Raw genomic sequence first — 16,139 nt, forward strand, 5'->3', positions numbered from 1 at the left:
GTTGAGATTCCCGGAGGACACGCCCCTATCGGCCCCGCCCCGTGCACCGCCTCCGTCGCCCCGCCCCGTCCCTCCCAGCCCCGCCCCGTCCCTCCCAGCCCCGCCCCTCCAGCGCTTCGAATGCGGACGCGAAGCCTGGCTGAGGCTGCGAAGGACGAGCGGCGCAGGGACCCCGCGGGCGTCTGGGGCTTCCGCGGCGCCCGCCTCTGCTCCCTCCCCTCGGGCGCTGGGTGCCGACCGGCCGGCTGGCCGGCGCCGCCTCCTGGGAAGATGGCGCTGCACTTCCAGGTCAGTGTGCTCTGCGCCGCGGGCCCGCGCTCCGCCACGCTGGGAACCCGGCGGGACGCGTCTGGAGACCGAGGGCCGAGGACAGCGGCGGAGGCCGCAGGGCCGTGGGCCGGTGTCCCCGGAGTCCCAGCCCCTGCCTCTGCCCCTAGCCGGGGACCGGGACACTGGTCTGGGCTGCACACCCCAGGCCCGGGCCGGAGCCCGAGAAAGGGGCGGCCGAGCCTGGGTTGGAGGCGGCGGGTGGAGGGGGCGGGGGACAGGCCCAGGGCTCGTCCCGGGGAAGGTGCGGACGCCGGCAGCACGCTCGCTGACCGCGGCTTTAGTGTTGCCAGGGCAGGTGGGAGTCCCAGCTGGGCCGGCTTTGGCGCGCCTCGCGCGGCTGCCGAGCGGTGGAGCAGCCTTCCCGCCTTCCCGCCGCGTCGCCGGCGCGGCTCTATCGTCAGCCTCCCTCCACACAGTTGAGCCCCAGCCGGAGCGGGGGCTTGGGATCCACCGAAGGAGCGGCGGCAGCGGTTGGACTTTAATTGGCCAGAGGAGACAGGGGCTGCGTCTGGGGGGAGTTGCGAGGGAGGGCTACGCGGCCGCCTCTTCGGAGGAGGAAACCCGGGCCGGGCGCGGGCGCGGGCGCGGACGCGAGGATCGCAGAGGCTACGAAGATGGGACGCGTGCTTGTATATCCTCGGGCTGCTCTGACATCCCCGTTCAGTTATTCAGCAAACATTTATTATCTCCCCACTGTGTCTCAAGCATTGTGGAAAGTTCTGGGGATAAAGGATGACATCTTACTATCCTCGCCCTCATACAGTTAACAGAGAATTACAGTACAAGTGAAAAATGTATGGTAGAAATAGTCACAGTATCATAGCACAGAAAAGGGGGTAGCCAGCCAAATGTGTATGTTGAGAAGGAGTGAAGCAGAGCTGCTATGCTCTTAGCTGAGAGATGCTTTAAGATTCTTTGAGCCTCCATTCTTCCATTTATTAATTATTGAGCGCCTACTATGCTAGGCGCTGAAGATACAACAGCTCTGAACAAAACTATGGTTTCTACTCTCAGGGAACTTGCAGTCTACTGGTCCTTGAAAGAGTCGTAGTTGTTTGCCAGGTGAAGAGGAAGGGAAGGATATGGAGGTAGAAGGACGTGTGAGCCAAGGCAAAGAATTGTGGAAGAACATGGTGTACTGCAGAAAGTTGAGTCTGGTTGGGACAAAGGGATGGGATCAGGGGAGGCAGTGGGTGGCAGGAGATGACCCCAGGGAGGGAAGGGAATTTCATAATATGGTGACAGTGTATCTAAGAATCTCATTCCCCTTGTAGACTCTTTTGAACCCCCTGTGATCACACTGATTTATAACTTGGCTGATTTATTGATTCTTCTAAAGGGTCTTTTTTTTAAAACCAGTTACTGTCTGATAATCGACAGTTCTAGAATGTTATGTAGTAAGCCCGACACATTACCTTTTGACTTCATGCCATTTCTAAGGGTCCTCAGGTCAAAATAATGTATTACCACTTTAGTAAATATGCCCTCTGGGAAATTTTCACAGGAAGAATCTTACAAGGAGGATTTATGGATTGTAAATAGGTAATCAGATGTTCACAGAGCCCGAGTAAATCTTGAGAGTAAATTAAAAGGTATGGTGGAACTTTGGAATTTTTTCATACATGGAAAGGTGATGTACAGTTAAATCACCAAGCCCTGGAAGACTTCTTCATATTTAGGCACAGTGTTGGAAAAGTTAGCTGCTGATGTCAAAACTACCCATATTGGTTTTGCAGGAATGTACTTCACAGTACATTCCAACATAAGTACTTCACAGTACATTCCTGTAGACAGCTTAAAAGCGGAGTTGGACAAATAAAAGATCAGACAGTTTTGTTGACTAGAAAAAAACTGAAATTTCTCCGTTTGAATTCTTTTTAGCATATAGGATCATATTGTTAATCAGTTAACTCAAGGAACATTTGTTAATAGTGATAACCAGTACCTAGCATTTTGAGTTTTCATATCCTCATTATAGAGGTGAGCCCTGCCACTAACTTAAAAAGTGTGCATATATACGTTTCATTCTGAAGACACTGAGTCTTAAAACAGTTGTGACTTGCCCAACGTTACAGAGTTAGAGTAGGCCTCATAACTCATAAGTTCCGTGTTCCCCATTACCTCTGTCTTACTGTCACCTACCCAAAAGGGCAGCTAGGCAAAAATTATACCATCAAGATGATGAGTAAAGAAGCAGATTTGTGTAGGGTGAGGTTAGGGTAGTGGTCAACATCTTTTTCACATCATGACATACATAAAAAATGTTAATTGTGTGTCTCATTAACATAAACCGCTCATTGCCAAAGGCCATCAGTGTGCACTTTCCCCAATGTCTCAAGCTCTGCTCCTAATGCTTGGAGGGCAGAGGGATCAATATCTCAGGCATACCTGTGAATCATTCAAAGCAGTTGCATTCTGGTTAGGAAGCTGTGAATTACGATACCCTGTCCCAAAGGAATTAATGGGTCTGGATTCCCTGACAGGCAATCCAGATAAGGGGGCAGAGTGAGGAAAAAGAATTGAGAAGAAGTAAGAGGTAGGCACTTTAGGTAGAACAGAGGTACCTTGGTAAGAATCGAGAGAATGTTAGGAAAAATTTAAGGGACTCAGTTGATCCAACTTTTTTGCTCAGGACTGTTTAAGAAGCAGGAAATATAGCCATGCTTCTTAATCTCCAGTCAAGCTACCTGATTTGATCTAGATGTGATTGAGAACTATTATTTTTAAATGCAATTATAACATGAGAAAAGGTATGTGGGAATGACCATTCTGGCAGTGTGGACTTGAATGGGAGAAACTATGGAAGATCCGTATGGTCTTTTATATTCACCAGTAACTGGAGAGATTATTTATGATTTATTGTGGATCTTCTGTATGGCAGGCACTGGATTAGGCTTTCCCCATCTTTTCTATCTTCATTCTACAATTAGTTTGGAAGGTAGATATTGCTGTTTGCAGGTTTGTTGTTGTTGTTGTTGTCGTTTGTTTTTTGAGACAGAATCTTGCTCGCCCAGGCTGGAGTGCAGTGGTGGAATCTCGGCTAACTGCAGCCTCTGCCTCCCGGGTTCCAGTGATTCTCTTGCCTCAGCCTCCTGGGTAGCTGGGATTACAGTTGCAAGCCACCATGCCCTGCTAATTTTTGTATTTTTAGTAGAGACAGGGTTTCTCCATGTTGGCCAGGCTGACCTCGAATTCCTGACCTCAGGTGATCCGCCCACTTCGGCCTCCCAAAGTGCTAGGATTACAGGAGTGAGCCACCGCGCCCGGCCCTGTTTGCAGTTTTAACAGCAAGGCTTAGAAAGGTTAAATTATTTGCCCGAGGTCACTTAATAAGTGAGTGGCAGATTCCAAAGGTTGTGTCCACTCTGTTGGACCAGTGGTTTTCAAATCGAACCATGACATTTCTAAGACCCCACTACTCTCTACTCGCATTCCCAGAGCAGCTTGAGAAATCCCTGGCCCTGGCAGCCACAGTTAGAAAATATTGCTTGATCTACTGTCTGTGAATATCAGGGGGAGGTGTTGAGTTGAGTCTTTATAGAAGAATAATTGGGAGGACTTTATGACAAATTAGGTATGTCCCTGGAATTAGCCATACTGAGATTAGAGGGCAGAGTCCACAAGACTGCCCTTTCTTCTCAGACCAAGTGCAAGTTTGGGGGTTTCCCAAAACCACCCTCAGGTTCAGTAGTTGACTCACAGAATTCACCGAAAGTTGTCATACTCAGTTGCAGTTTGTTACAGGGACAGGATACAGATTAAAATTGGTCAAAGGAAGGTGACACAGGGCAACATCTGTGCAGGTTTCAAAACTAAGCTTCTGTTGGCCTCAGGACATGTTGTGCTCCCTGCATCAATATATGGCAATATGCACTAATTATTGCAAACTGGGTGAGCTCACCTAGACTTCATTATACAGGGTTTTTACTGGGGCTTCAGTTCTTAGGTATGATTGATTGATTGTCCACGTGTTTGAAATCAGTCCTAGGTTGACTATTACCTTGTGACCCAAAGTCCTGATCCTAAACATGTAATTGGTGTTTCTGGTGTGGCCAGCCCCCAGCCTACCACTATTGGGTATGGCCAGCCCCTCCCCTAAATAAAAACATTCCTATCAGGTATGATATACATTACCTTTCAGAAGCAAAGGCCAGATGTCTCTTATGGCAAGACCAAATCTGTTACTATACAGGAGGTACAAAGGAGACTAAGGAGAGGGGGAAGCAAAAGATAACATTGAGCTTGTAAATCTACACTCTGGTCTAGAAATCTGAAACTACTGAGAAGAAGGGACACTTAGGCCGGGCATGGTGGCTCACGCCTGTAATCCCAGCACTTTTGGGAGGCTGAGGCAGGTGGGTCACGAGGTCACGAAATCGAGACCATCCTGGCTAACACAGTGAAACCCCATGTCTACTAAAAATACACAAAATTAGCTGGGCGTGGTGGCGGGTGCCTGTATTCCCAGCTAATTGGGAAGCTGAGGCAGAAGAATGGCGTTAACCCGGGAGGCGGAGCTTGCAGTGAGCCGAGATCGCACCACTGCACTCTTGCCTGGGCAACAGAGCGAGACTCCATCTCAACAAAAAAAAAAAAGAAGGGACACTTAAAGTGGAAAGCATGTTCAATTCTGTTTGTCACATTTTTGGGTGATTTTTTTATATCTTTCTAGATTTCCAAGAGAAAGAAATTTGTACACAAATGTAAAGATGGTGAACAGACAGGGCTGAAAGTATGGACTGCCAGGCATGGTGGTGTGTGCCTGTAGTCCCAGCTACTTAGGAGGCTGAGGTAGGGGGATCACTTGAGCTTAGGGGTTCTGGGCTGTATTGTAGTGTGCTCCACCGATCAAGTGTCTCCACTAAGTTCATCAGTAATATTGACCTCCCATCAATATGGGAATGGGGGACCACCAGGTTGCTTAAGGAACGATGAACTGGCCCAGGTCAGAGACAGAGCTGGTCAAAACTCTAGTGCTGATCTGTAGTGGGACCATGCCCTTGCATAGCTATTGCACACCAGCCTGGGCAACATGGCAAGACCCTGTCTCTTGAAGTATAGACTAGGACATCATCTCCAGGTCGATGATGATGGAAATAAAGAGTGGCAATTTGGGCAGGTTGGGGGAGACAACATGTATTTGGGGTCTGTAGACTTGTATTTGACTCAGAATTTGATTATTTATCATTAATCTTGAGGAATTTATGTATATTTGATCTCAGCTTTAGTTTTTTAAATCTGTAGAATAAATATACTGAAAATACATACTTCACAAGAGCCTATTTTTCAGGATTGGTTTGAAAAAAAGGTGGAAATACTTTTGTAAACTATAAAGCACTAAAATAAATATTATCTATTTTATTTTAAGAAGGAAGAATTCCAAGAGATCCAGATAAAAGCCTTCAGGGATACTCAGGAAAAGGTAGTAAGAGGAAGAAAAAAAGAGTTTGTGGGAAATGAGTAACTTCAAAATGAAGGCAGTTTCTGTTTATTGTAATCAAGAAGCTTAATTCCAGAAGGCAGGAAAGATACAGGAAAGTAATTGAAAAGATCTTTAAATTCAATTGAAGAGGATTTTTGTGGCTTATTAATGTTTTACTATTAGGGAACATTTATTTCCTGAAACAAAAACATTTATTCTCTTTTTTCAGCTTTACTGAAGTACAATTGATAATAAAATGTGTGTAAACTGTGCAATTGGATGGGTTTTGCCATATGTATACATCTGTGAAATTGTCACCAAAATCAAGAAAATGAACATATCCATCCCCCCAAAAGTTTCCTTGTGCTCTTGTGCCCCTTTGTAATCTCTGTTTTTCCCCCACTCCTCTGCTGTCTTCCCTCCCAGCCAGGAAATCACTGATTTGCTTTCTGTTAAGAACCATACAATATACACTCTCCAGCATTCACCTGTTGATAGTTGCATGCATGACTATCAACACGTGTGGCTTTTACTCAGCATTCACCTGTTGATAGTTACATGTGTGACTTTTTACTTGCTATATAAAAATAACTCATCATTTAGGGGCCAATTCTGTGTCAGGTACAAAGGCCAGAAATAAGTCCAGAATAATTTGGAAGATCCTTATTTAGACTATGGTCAAGTTTACATCATTGTCTCCTAGGGTATGAAAGTTGGATGCTGTCTGTTTTTGTGTGTGTGTGTGGTTTTTTAGACAGGGTCTTGCTCTGTCACCCAGGCTGGAGTGCAGTGGTGGGATCTTGGCTAGCTGCAACCTCTGCCTCCTGGGCTTAAGAAATCCTCCCACCTCAGCCTCCCAAGTAGCTGGGACTACAGGCATGTGCTACCACACCTGGCTGATTTTGTTGTTGTTGTTGTTGTTGTTGTTGTATTTTTTGAAGAGATGGCATTTTGCCACATTGGCCAGGCTGGTCTCAAACTCCTGAGCTCAAACAGTTCACCCACCTTGGCCCCTCAAAGTGCTGAGATTACAGGTGTGAGCCGCCATGCCTGGCCTGTCTGTTTGTATTTGATAGTTACTCTGTGGGAGGTGAATGATGTCCACTTCTCTTTGTTTTACCTCTTAGTTATTTATATGGGCTTCTAATGTTATCATTAAGACTTGTAGAAGCTTTAAGAACTCAAACCTGATTTGTCAACAAATTGAGAAGGGATCCATTTTTCTGAGACCATTCTCATATTAATCATATTCTCAGATATCAATGCATAAAACTAAGATGAAAATTTATCAGTTTACTATAAAAAATAAAGTTTCCTTAGAAAATGAAGTGCTAAACAGAAGATTGCTTGATTGGTTAGTAACCACCATATTGTGGGCTTAATTGCTTTATACGTCTAGATAATACCTTTCTACCAGGGGAAGGGTCTTTGTGTGTGTATCCCTTTCTCTAAAAAGGTTTTTAGTATACCAGGTATAAGTTTGTTACCTTTACAGTGAAAGAATAACTTGATTTTCCCTTTGAGTCTTTTGTAAAAGAAAATTCAAACCTTTCCCTTTTTATCTTGGATGGCCTTTTTCATTTGTTAATAATTTGAAATATCTTTGGAAAAAAAGAGTGATTGGTAACATTGTTGATTTAAATACTATGTAAATATACCCCAGGTCTGTTCTGTCTTGAGGTTCTTTATATCAGTAAAACAAAACAGACAAATAATTTCCAGACTTTTCCATAATCTTTCCAAATAGGTTTATTTAGGTGCCATTAAATTGATTACTATTCATATTACTTTTCTAGGGCTCACAACACTTTTTTTTTTTTTTTTTTGAGTTGGGAGTCTCGCTATGTTTCCCAGGCTGGCCTTGAACTCCTGGGCTCAAGCCTACTGCCTCAGCCTACTGAGTAGCTGGGATTACAGGCATGTGCCACCGTGCCTTAATACCAATATATTTTCATAGATCTGGTGGCCAGAAATCTGAAACATACACTGGTTTGGTCCCTTCTGGAGGCCCTGAAGGAGAAACCATTTCATGCCTTTCGCCCAGCTGCTTCTGATGGCTGCTGGCAATCTTCGTTGTTTCTTGGCTTGCAGAAACATCACTCTAGTCTCTGCCTACATCTTCATATGGTCTTCCCTGCTATGTCTCTGCATCTCAAATCTCCCTCCTTTCTCTTATAGGAATACCAGTCAGTGGATTTAGGGCGCACTGTAAATCCAGCATGATCTCATACCAAGATTCTTAATTAAGGATTTGTGAAGACCCTATTTCCAAATAAGGTCACATTTATAGGTACTGGAGTTGGGAGATGGACATATATTTTAAGGGGATATAATTAAAATCATTACAATATTATTAGGTAATGTTAAAAACAACTGTGTACCAGAAGTTACATGACACTAACTCTTAATCCTCCAAACCTATGAGATTGGCACTGTTACTAGTCTCATTTTTGCTGCCTTTTGTTAAACAGGTCTATTACTATTTCTTGGCCTAATTCTTTTTGCAGTCAAAGTCTACTTCAAAGAATCTTAGGCCTAGATGAATGCATGCCAGCAGGATCAGTTTATTAATTATACCGAGTATTATCAGTTCTAAAATTCAGTCCTCCAAATTTATTAGATGAAGGAAAAGACTTCTTAGGTTGATCATGAGAGGGAAAAAGGGACCCCTTTTTATTTTCATATATAAATACATATTTAATTTTACTTTAAGTTCTGAGATACACGTGCAGAACGTGCAGGTTTGTTACATAGGTATACATGTGCCGTGGTGGTTTGCCGCACCTGTTGACCCGTCACCTAGGTATTAAGCTCTGCAGGCATTAGCTATTTGTCCTCATGCTCTCTCTCCCTCCCCTCACCCCCACAACAGGCCCCCTGTATGTGTTGTTCCCCTCCCTGTGTCCATGTGTCTTCATTGTTTGGCTTCCACTTATGGGTGAGAACATTTGGTGTTTGGTTTTCTGTTCCTGCATTAGCTTGCTGAGGATAATGGCTTCCAGCTTCATCCATGTCCCAGCAAAGGACATGATCTCATTCCTTTTTAATGGCTGCATAGTATTCCATGGCTTATATGTACCACATTTTCTTTATCCAGTCTACCATCAATGGGCATTTGGGTTGTTTTCATGTCTTTGCTATTGTGAATAGTGCTGCAGTAAACATACATGTGCATGTATCTTTATAATAGAATGATTTATATTCCTTTGAGTATATACCCAGTAATGAGATTGCTTTGTCAAATGATATTTCTGGTTCTAGGTCCTTGAGGAATCACCACACTGTCTTCCACAATGGTTGAACTAATTTACATTCCCACCAACAGTATAAAAGCATTTCTATTTCTCCACAGCTTGGCCAGCATCTGTTGATTCTTGACTTTTTAATAATCACCATTCTGACTGGTGTGAAATGGTATCTGGTTGTGGTTTTGATTTGCATTTTTCTAATGATCAGTGATGCTGAACTTTTTTTCATGTGTTTCTTGGCCACATAAATGTCTTCTTTTGAGAAGTGTCTGTTCATGTCCTTTGCCCACTTTTTTTTCTTATGAGATGGAGTCTTGCACTGTTGTCTAGACTGGAGTGCAATGGCACAATCTTGGCTCATTGCAACCTCTGCCTCCCTGGTTCAAGCGATTCTCCTGCCTCAGCCTCCTGAGTAGCTGGGATTACAGGCGCCTGCCACCATGCCCAGCTAATTTTTGTATTTTTAGTAGAGACAGGGTTTCACTATGTTGGCCAGGATGGTCTCGAACTCCTGACCTCATGATCCGCCTGCCTCTGCCTCCCAAAGTTCTGGGATTACAGGTGTGAGCCACCACACCTGGCCACTACATTTGCCCACTTTTTGATGGGGTTGTTTTTTTCTTTAAATTTGTTTAAGGTTCTATGTAAATTCTGGATATTAGACCTTTGTCACATGGGTTGATTGCAAAAATGTTCTCCCATTCTGTAGATTGCCTGTTCCCTCTGATGATAGTTTATTTTGCTATGTAGAAGCTCTTTAATTAGATCCCATTTGTCAATTTTGGCTTTTGTTGCAACTGCTTTTGGCAATTTCGCCATAAAATCTTTGCCCATGCCTATGTTCTGAATGATATTGTCTAGATTTTCTTCTAGAGCTTTTATGGCTTTGGGTTTTGATTAAGTCTTTAATCCATCTTGAGTTAATTTTTGTATAAAATGTAAGAAAGGGGCCCAGTTACAGTTTTCTGCATATAGCTAACCAGTTTTCCCAGCACCATCTATTAAATAGGGAATTCTCTCCCCATTGCTTGTTTTTGTCAGGTTTGTCGAAGATCAGATGGTTGTAGATGTGTGGTCTTATTTCTGAGGTCTCTATTCTGTTCTATTGGTCTATGTGTTTGTTTTGGTACCAGTACCATACTGTTTTAGTTACTGTAGCCTTGCAGTATAGTCTGAAGTCAGGTAGTGTGATGCCTCCAGCTTTGTTCTTTTTGCTTAGGATTGTCTTGGCTATGTGGGCTCTTTTTTGGTTCCATATGAATTTTAAGGTAGTTTTTTCTAATTCTGTGAAGAATGTCAATGGTAGTTTGATGGGAATAGCATTGAATCTATAAATTACTTTGGGCAGTATATCCATTTTAACAATATTGATTCTCCTTATCCATGAGGATGGAATGTTTTTCCATTTTTTTGTGTCCTCTCATTTCCTCGAGCAGTGGTTTATACTTCTTCTTGAAGAAGTCCCTCACATCCCTTGCTGTATTCCTCAGTATTTTATTTTCTTTGTAGCAATTGTGAATGGGAGTTCATTCATGATTTGGCTGTCTGCTTGTCTATTGTTGGTGTATAGGAATGCTTGTGATTTTGCCCGTTGATTTTGTATTGTGAGACTTGGCTGAAATTGCTTATCAGCTTAAGGAGTTTTTGGGCTGAGATGATGGAGTTTTCTAGATTGTAGGATCATGTTGTCTGCAGAGATGATTTGACTTCGTCTCTTCCTATTTGAATACCCTTTATTTCTTTCTTTTGCCAGATTGCCCTGGCCAGAACTTCCCATACTGTGTTGAATAAGAGTGGTGAGAGAGGGTATCCTTGTCTTGTGCCAGTTTTCAAAGGGAATGCTTCTAGCTTTTGCCTATTCAGTATGACATTGGCTGTGGGTTTGTCATAAATAGCTCTTATTATTTTAAGATATATTCCATCAATACCTAGTTTATTAAGAATTTTTAACATGCAGGGTTGTTGAATTTTCTTGAAGGCATTTTCTGCATCATTCTATTTTTCTGCATCATTCTATTGAGATAATCATGTGATTTTTGTCATTGGCTCTGTTTATGTGATGGATTATGTTTACTGATTTGCATATGTTGAACCAGCTTTGCATCCCAGGGATGAAGTCGACTTGATTGTAGTAGATAAGCTTTTTTTTTCTTTTTTTCTTTTTTTAAGACGGAGTCTTACTCTGTCACCCAGACTGGAGTGCAGTGGTGCAATCTTGGCTCGCTGCAACCTCCACCTCCAGGGTTCATGAGATTCTTCTGCCTTAGCTTCCCAAGTAGCTGAGACTACAGGCACGTGAAACCGTGCCCGGCTGATTTTTGTATTTTAGTAGAGATGGGGTTTTGCCACGTTGGCCAGACTGGTCTTGAACTATTGACCTCAGGTGATCCACCCACCTTGGCCTCTCTAAGGGCTGGGATTACAGGCGTGAGCCATGGCACTGGGCTTGGATAAGCTTTTTGATGTGCTGCTGGATTTGGTTTGCCAGTATTTTATTGAGGATTTTCACATCGATGTTCATCAGGGATACTGGCCTGCAGTTTTCTTTTCTTGTTGTGTCTTTGCCAACTTTTGGTATCAGGTTGATGCTGGCCTCATAAAATGAGTTAGGGAGGAGTCCCTCCTTTTCAGTTGTTTGGAATAGTTTCAGAAAGAATGGTATCAGCTCCTCTTTGTACCTCTGGTAGAATTCGACTGTGAATCTGTCTGATCTTGGACTTTTTTGGTTGGTAGGCTATTTTTTTACTGCTTTAATTTTAGAACTATTGGTCTAATCAAGGATTCTACTTCTTCCTGGTTTAGTGTTGTGAGGGTGTATATGTCCAGGAATTTTTCCATTTCTTCTAGATTTTCTAGTTTATTTGCATAAAAGTGTTTATAGTATTCTCTGATGGTAGTTTGTATTTCTGTGGGGTCAGTAGTGATAATCCTTTATCATTTTTATTGTGTCTATTTGATTCTTCTCTCTTTTCTCCTTTATTAGTCTAGCTAGCAGTCTATCTATTTTATTAAGTTCTTATAAAAACCAGCTCCTGGATTTATTGACTTTTTTTGAAGGATTTTTCGTGTCTCTATCTCCTTCAGTTCTGTTCTGATCTTAGTTATTTCTTGTCTTGTGCTAGCTTTTGGATTTCTTTGCTCTTGCTTCTCTAGTACATTTAGTTGTGATGTTAGGGTGTTGATTTGAGATCTTTCTAACTTTCTGAAGTGGGCATTTAGTGCTATAAATTTCCCTCTTAATGCTGCTATAGGTACATCTCAGAGATTCTGGTATGTTGGCTCTTTGTTCTCATTGGTTTCATAGAATTTCTTGATTTCTGCGTTAATTTCATTATTTACCCAGGAGTCATTCGGGAGCAAGGTTAATTTCTGTGTAGTTGTGTGGTTTTGAGTGAGTTTCTTAATCTTGAGTTCTACTTTGCACTGTGGTCAGTGAGACTGTTATGATTTCAGTTCTTTTGTATTTGCTGAGGAGTGCTTTACTTCCAGTTATGTGTCTGATTTTAGAGTAAGTACCATGTGGCACTAGAAGAATGTATATTCTGTTTTGGGGTGGAGAGTTCTGTAGATATCTATCAGGTCCCCTTGATCCAGAGCTGAATTCAAGTCCTGAATATCTTTGTTAATTTTCTGTCTTGTTGATCTACCTAATTTTGACAGTGGGGTGTTAAATTTTCCCACTATTATTGTGTGGGAGTCTAAGTCCCTTTGTAGGTCTCTCGGAACTCATTTTATGAATCTGGATGCTCCTGCATCGGTTGCATATATATTTAGGATAGCTCATTATGTTGAATTGTTCCCTTTATCATTATGTAATGCCCTTCTTTGTCTTTTTTGATCTTTGTTGGTTTAAAGTCTGTTTTGTCAGAAACTAGGATTTTAACCCCTGCTTTTTTTTTTGCTTTCCATTTGCTTGGTAAATTTTCCTACATCCCTTTATTTTGAGCCTATGTATGTCTTTGCATGTGAGATGGGTCTCTTGAATACAGTACACTGATGGGACTTGACTCTTTGTCCAGTTTGCCAGTCTGTGTCTTTTTATTGGGGCATTTAGCCCATTTACATTTAAAGTTAATATTGTTATGTGTGAATTTGATCCTGTCATCATGATGCTAGCTGGTTATTTTGCCCGTTAGTTGATGCAGCTTCTTCATGGTGTCCTTGGTCTTTGTATTTTGGTGTGTTTTTGCAGTGGCTGGTACCAGTTTTTCCTTTCCATATTTAGTGCTTCCTTCAGGAGCTCTTGGAAGGCAGGCCTGGTGGTGACAAATTCCCTCAGCATTTGCTTGTCTGAAATGGATTTTATTTCTCCTTCTCTTACGAAGCTTAGTTTGGCCAGATATGACATTCTGGGTTGAAAATTCTTGACTTTAAGAATGTTGAATATTGGCCCCCACTCTCTTCTGGCTTGTAGGGTTTCTGCAGAGAGATCTGTTGTTAGTCTGATGGGCTTCCCTTTGTAGGTGACCTGGCCTTTCCCTCCTGCTGCTCTTTATGTTTTTTCCTTCATTTTGACATTGGAGGATCTAATGATTATGTGTCTTGGGGTTGATCGTCTTACTGAGGTTCTCTGTATTTCCTGAATTTGAATGTTGGCCTGTCTTGCTAGGTTGGGGAAGTTTTCCTGGATGATATCCTGAAGTGTGTTTTCCAACTTGGTTCCACTCTCTTTGTCTCTTTCAGGTACTTCAATCAGTCATAGGTTTGGTCTTTTTACGTAGTCCCATAGTTCTCAGAGGTTTGTTCATTTCTTCTCATTCTTTTTTCTCTCCTGCCTTATTTCAGCAAGGTAGTCTTCAAGCTCTGATACTTTTTCTTCTGCTGGATTGATTTGGCTATTGATACTTGTGTATGCTTCACAAAGTTCTCGTGCTGTGTTTTTCAGCTCCATCGGGTTATTTATGTTCCTCTCTCAACTGGTTATTCTAGTTAGCGCTCCTGTAGCCTTTTATTATGGTTCTGAGCTTCTGAAGCCTACTTCTGTCAGTTTGTCCATCTCATCCTCTGTCCAATTCTCTGCCCTTCCTGGAGAGGTGTTGCTATCATTTGGAGAAGAAGCACTCTGGCCTTTTGGGTTTTCAGCATTCTTTCATTGATTCTTTCTCATCTTCATGAGTTTGTCTAGTTTCGATCTTTGAGGCTGCTCACCCTTGGATGAGGTTTTTGTGGGGACTCTTTTTGTTGATGCTGCTGTTGTTGCTTTCTGTTTGTTTTTCTTTCAATAGTCAGGTCCCTCTTCTGTGGGGCTGCTGTGGTTTGCTGAGAGTTCACTTCAGGCCTTGTTAGTCTGGGTCACTCCTGCACCTGGAGATGTCACCTGAGGAGGCTGGAGAACGGCAGAGACAGGTGCCTGTTCCTTTCTCTGGGATCTCTGTCCTCGAGGGGCACCAACCGCTTCACTTGGCTGGGAGTAGGGGCTCCCCTGCCCTGTGTGGCTCTCAGGTGGGCCAATGTACCACCTTGCTCTTCCCTCCTCCCTGTGGGTTACCCCAACTGCCTAGTCAGTCCTGGTGACAGAACCTGGATACCTTGGTTATCAGTGTGGGATTTGCATGTTGTTTTGGTTCTTCTCAGTGGGAGCCTCCGATCGCCACTGCTTCTAGTTGGCCATCTTGACCCCCTATTTTTGTATTTCTTACCTGGATAAAACAATATAATTTTTACGTATTCATGAACTATAAAGATTGTATGCATTTTCCTGTTGTGAACAGTATGTAGTAGTAATCTGGGTTTGTTTGGGCTAATCTAGGTGGGGGAGATGTTTAAAATGTAGTTCATTTGAGGTTCTTTATCTTAATCAGCCTATTTGAAATCTTATTTTTGGACTTCTGTGTTTACTCTAGCAGGAAATTTCCAAATCTGGGATGCTGGGCTCTGATGTAGTTAGGGAAATGGAAAATGCTATAAAAGCGCTAAGAAGGAGAGAGGAAGAGAGAAGTAAAAGGAATAATGGAAGCTAGAGTAGGTCTCATTTTGGTGTTACTTGTGTATTCCTTTAATGAGAAGGTATATGCACATGAGGGAATGTGTGGGCTAGTGTAGCTATAAGGTTACCACATAAAATTCAGGCTAGAAAGGACAAAAAAATTGCATTTTTTTAAAAGGAATATCCCATTGTTTTCATATGCCTACCTGACATTGAAATCTGTGCCAATATTTTTTCTTTCAGAGACTGATTCTCTAATTCAAATTTAAAGTGAGGTAATTTGTTTTCAGAAGACCTCTTTAACAAAAAAATTTTTTGGAGAGGAGTGCTGAACTCATTTTTTAATTCTTTTTTTAGATGGTTTCCATGTGTCCCAGATCGTCATGAGATTAGATTTATATCATCAAGATAGGATGATGAACAGAATGCTTTAGTCTTTATGCTTGTAAAATAGGAGACTTTAACATAACTGGTTATTACATTGCTAGAAATACCATGGGATCAAGTCAAAGTTCCTGAAAATCCTGCAGCACTTTGAGTTGTTGGTTCAGAAGCCCGAAATCAACATATAATAAAAATAATATATATATATTTTTGAGACAGGGTCTTGCTCTGTCACCCGCTGAAGTACAATGATAGTATCAAGGCTCACTGCAGTCTCAAGCTCCAGGGCTCAAGCGATTCTCCCACTTCAGCCCTCTAATAGCTGGGACTACAGGTGTACCCTACTATACCCAGCTACTTTTGTTGTATTTGTAGAGGGGATTTTGCCATGTTGCCTGTGGTGGTCTTGAACTCCTGGGCTCAAGCGATCCTTCCGCCTTGGCCTCTGACAGTGCTGGGATTATAGGTATAAGTCACCATGCCCGGCCTTAAATTCTTAAAATTTGAGAAAGAATATAAATTTGGTTATCTGCAACTTGTGCATGATCATTTCCCCCATCCATCTCCCTAACCTCATCTGGTATCTCCTTGCTGTGTTTATCAGCCGCACTGACCTTTAATGCTTTGAGATGACTAAATTCCACTCTACTGAAGGACCCTGGTAAATGTTCTTTCTTTGCCTGGACTGCCTTCTAGTCTTTTTAAAATCTGATTCACTGTTGTAGGTCTCAGCATAAATATTATTTCTTGAGGCCTACCTTTCCAAATCCTTGTTGTAGACAAGTTCTCCCTTTCTTGTACTTTTCCATTGCAGAACTATCAATTTGTA

The 16,139-nt window shown here is 42.4% G+C and overlaps 1 protein-coding gene and 1 pseudogene across 19 annotated transcripts in view; both read left to right on the forward strand.

Annotated features, from left to right (window-relative positions):
• The first annotated feature begins 254 nt into the window (after positions 1–254).
• Positions 255–16,139, forward strand: part of RANBP17 (RAN binding protein 17) — a 437,998-nt gene continuing 422,113 nt past the window's right edge. For all 19 annotated transcript variants that reach the window (XR_007058628.1, XR_941108.3, XR_007058630.1 and 16 more), the window contains exon 1: positions 255–288. Coding sequence is in view for 15 of the 19 variants with exons in the window: in XM_011534627.2 (XP_011532929.1) it covers positions 271–288 (18 nt within the window). In the remaining 4 variants the exon portion in view is untranslated. The remainder of the gene's footprint in view (positions 289–16,139) is intronic.
• On the forward strand, positions 5,072–5,381 carry RN7SL623P (RNA, 7SL, cytoplasmic 623, pseudogene; annotated as a pseudogene).

Source organism: Homo sapiens, chromosome 5 (assembly GCF_000001405.40).
Source record: "Homo sapiens chromosome 5, GRCh38.p14 Primary Assembly".
NCBI lineage: Eukaryota > Metazoa > Chordata > Mammalia > Primates > Hominidae > Homo > Homo sapiens.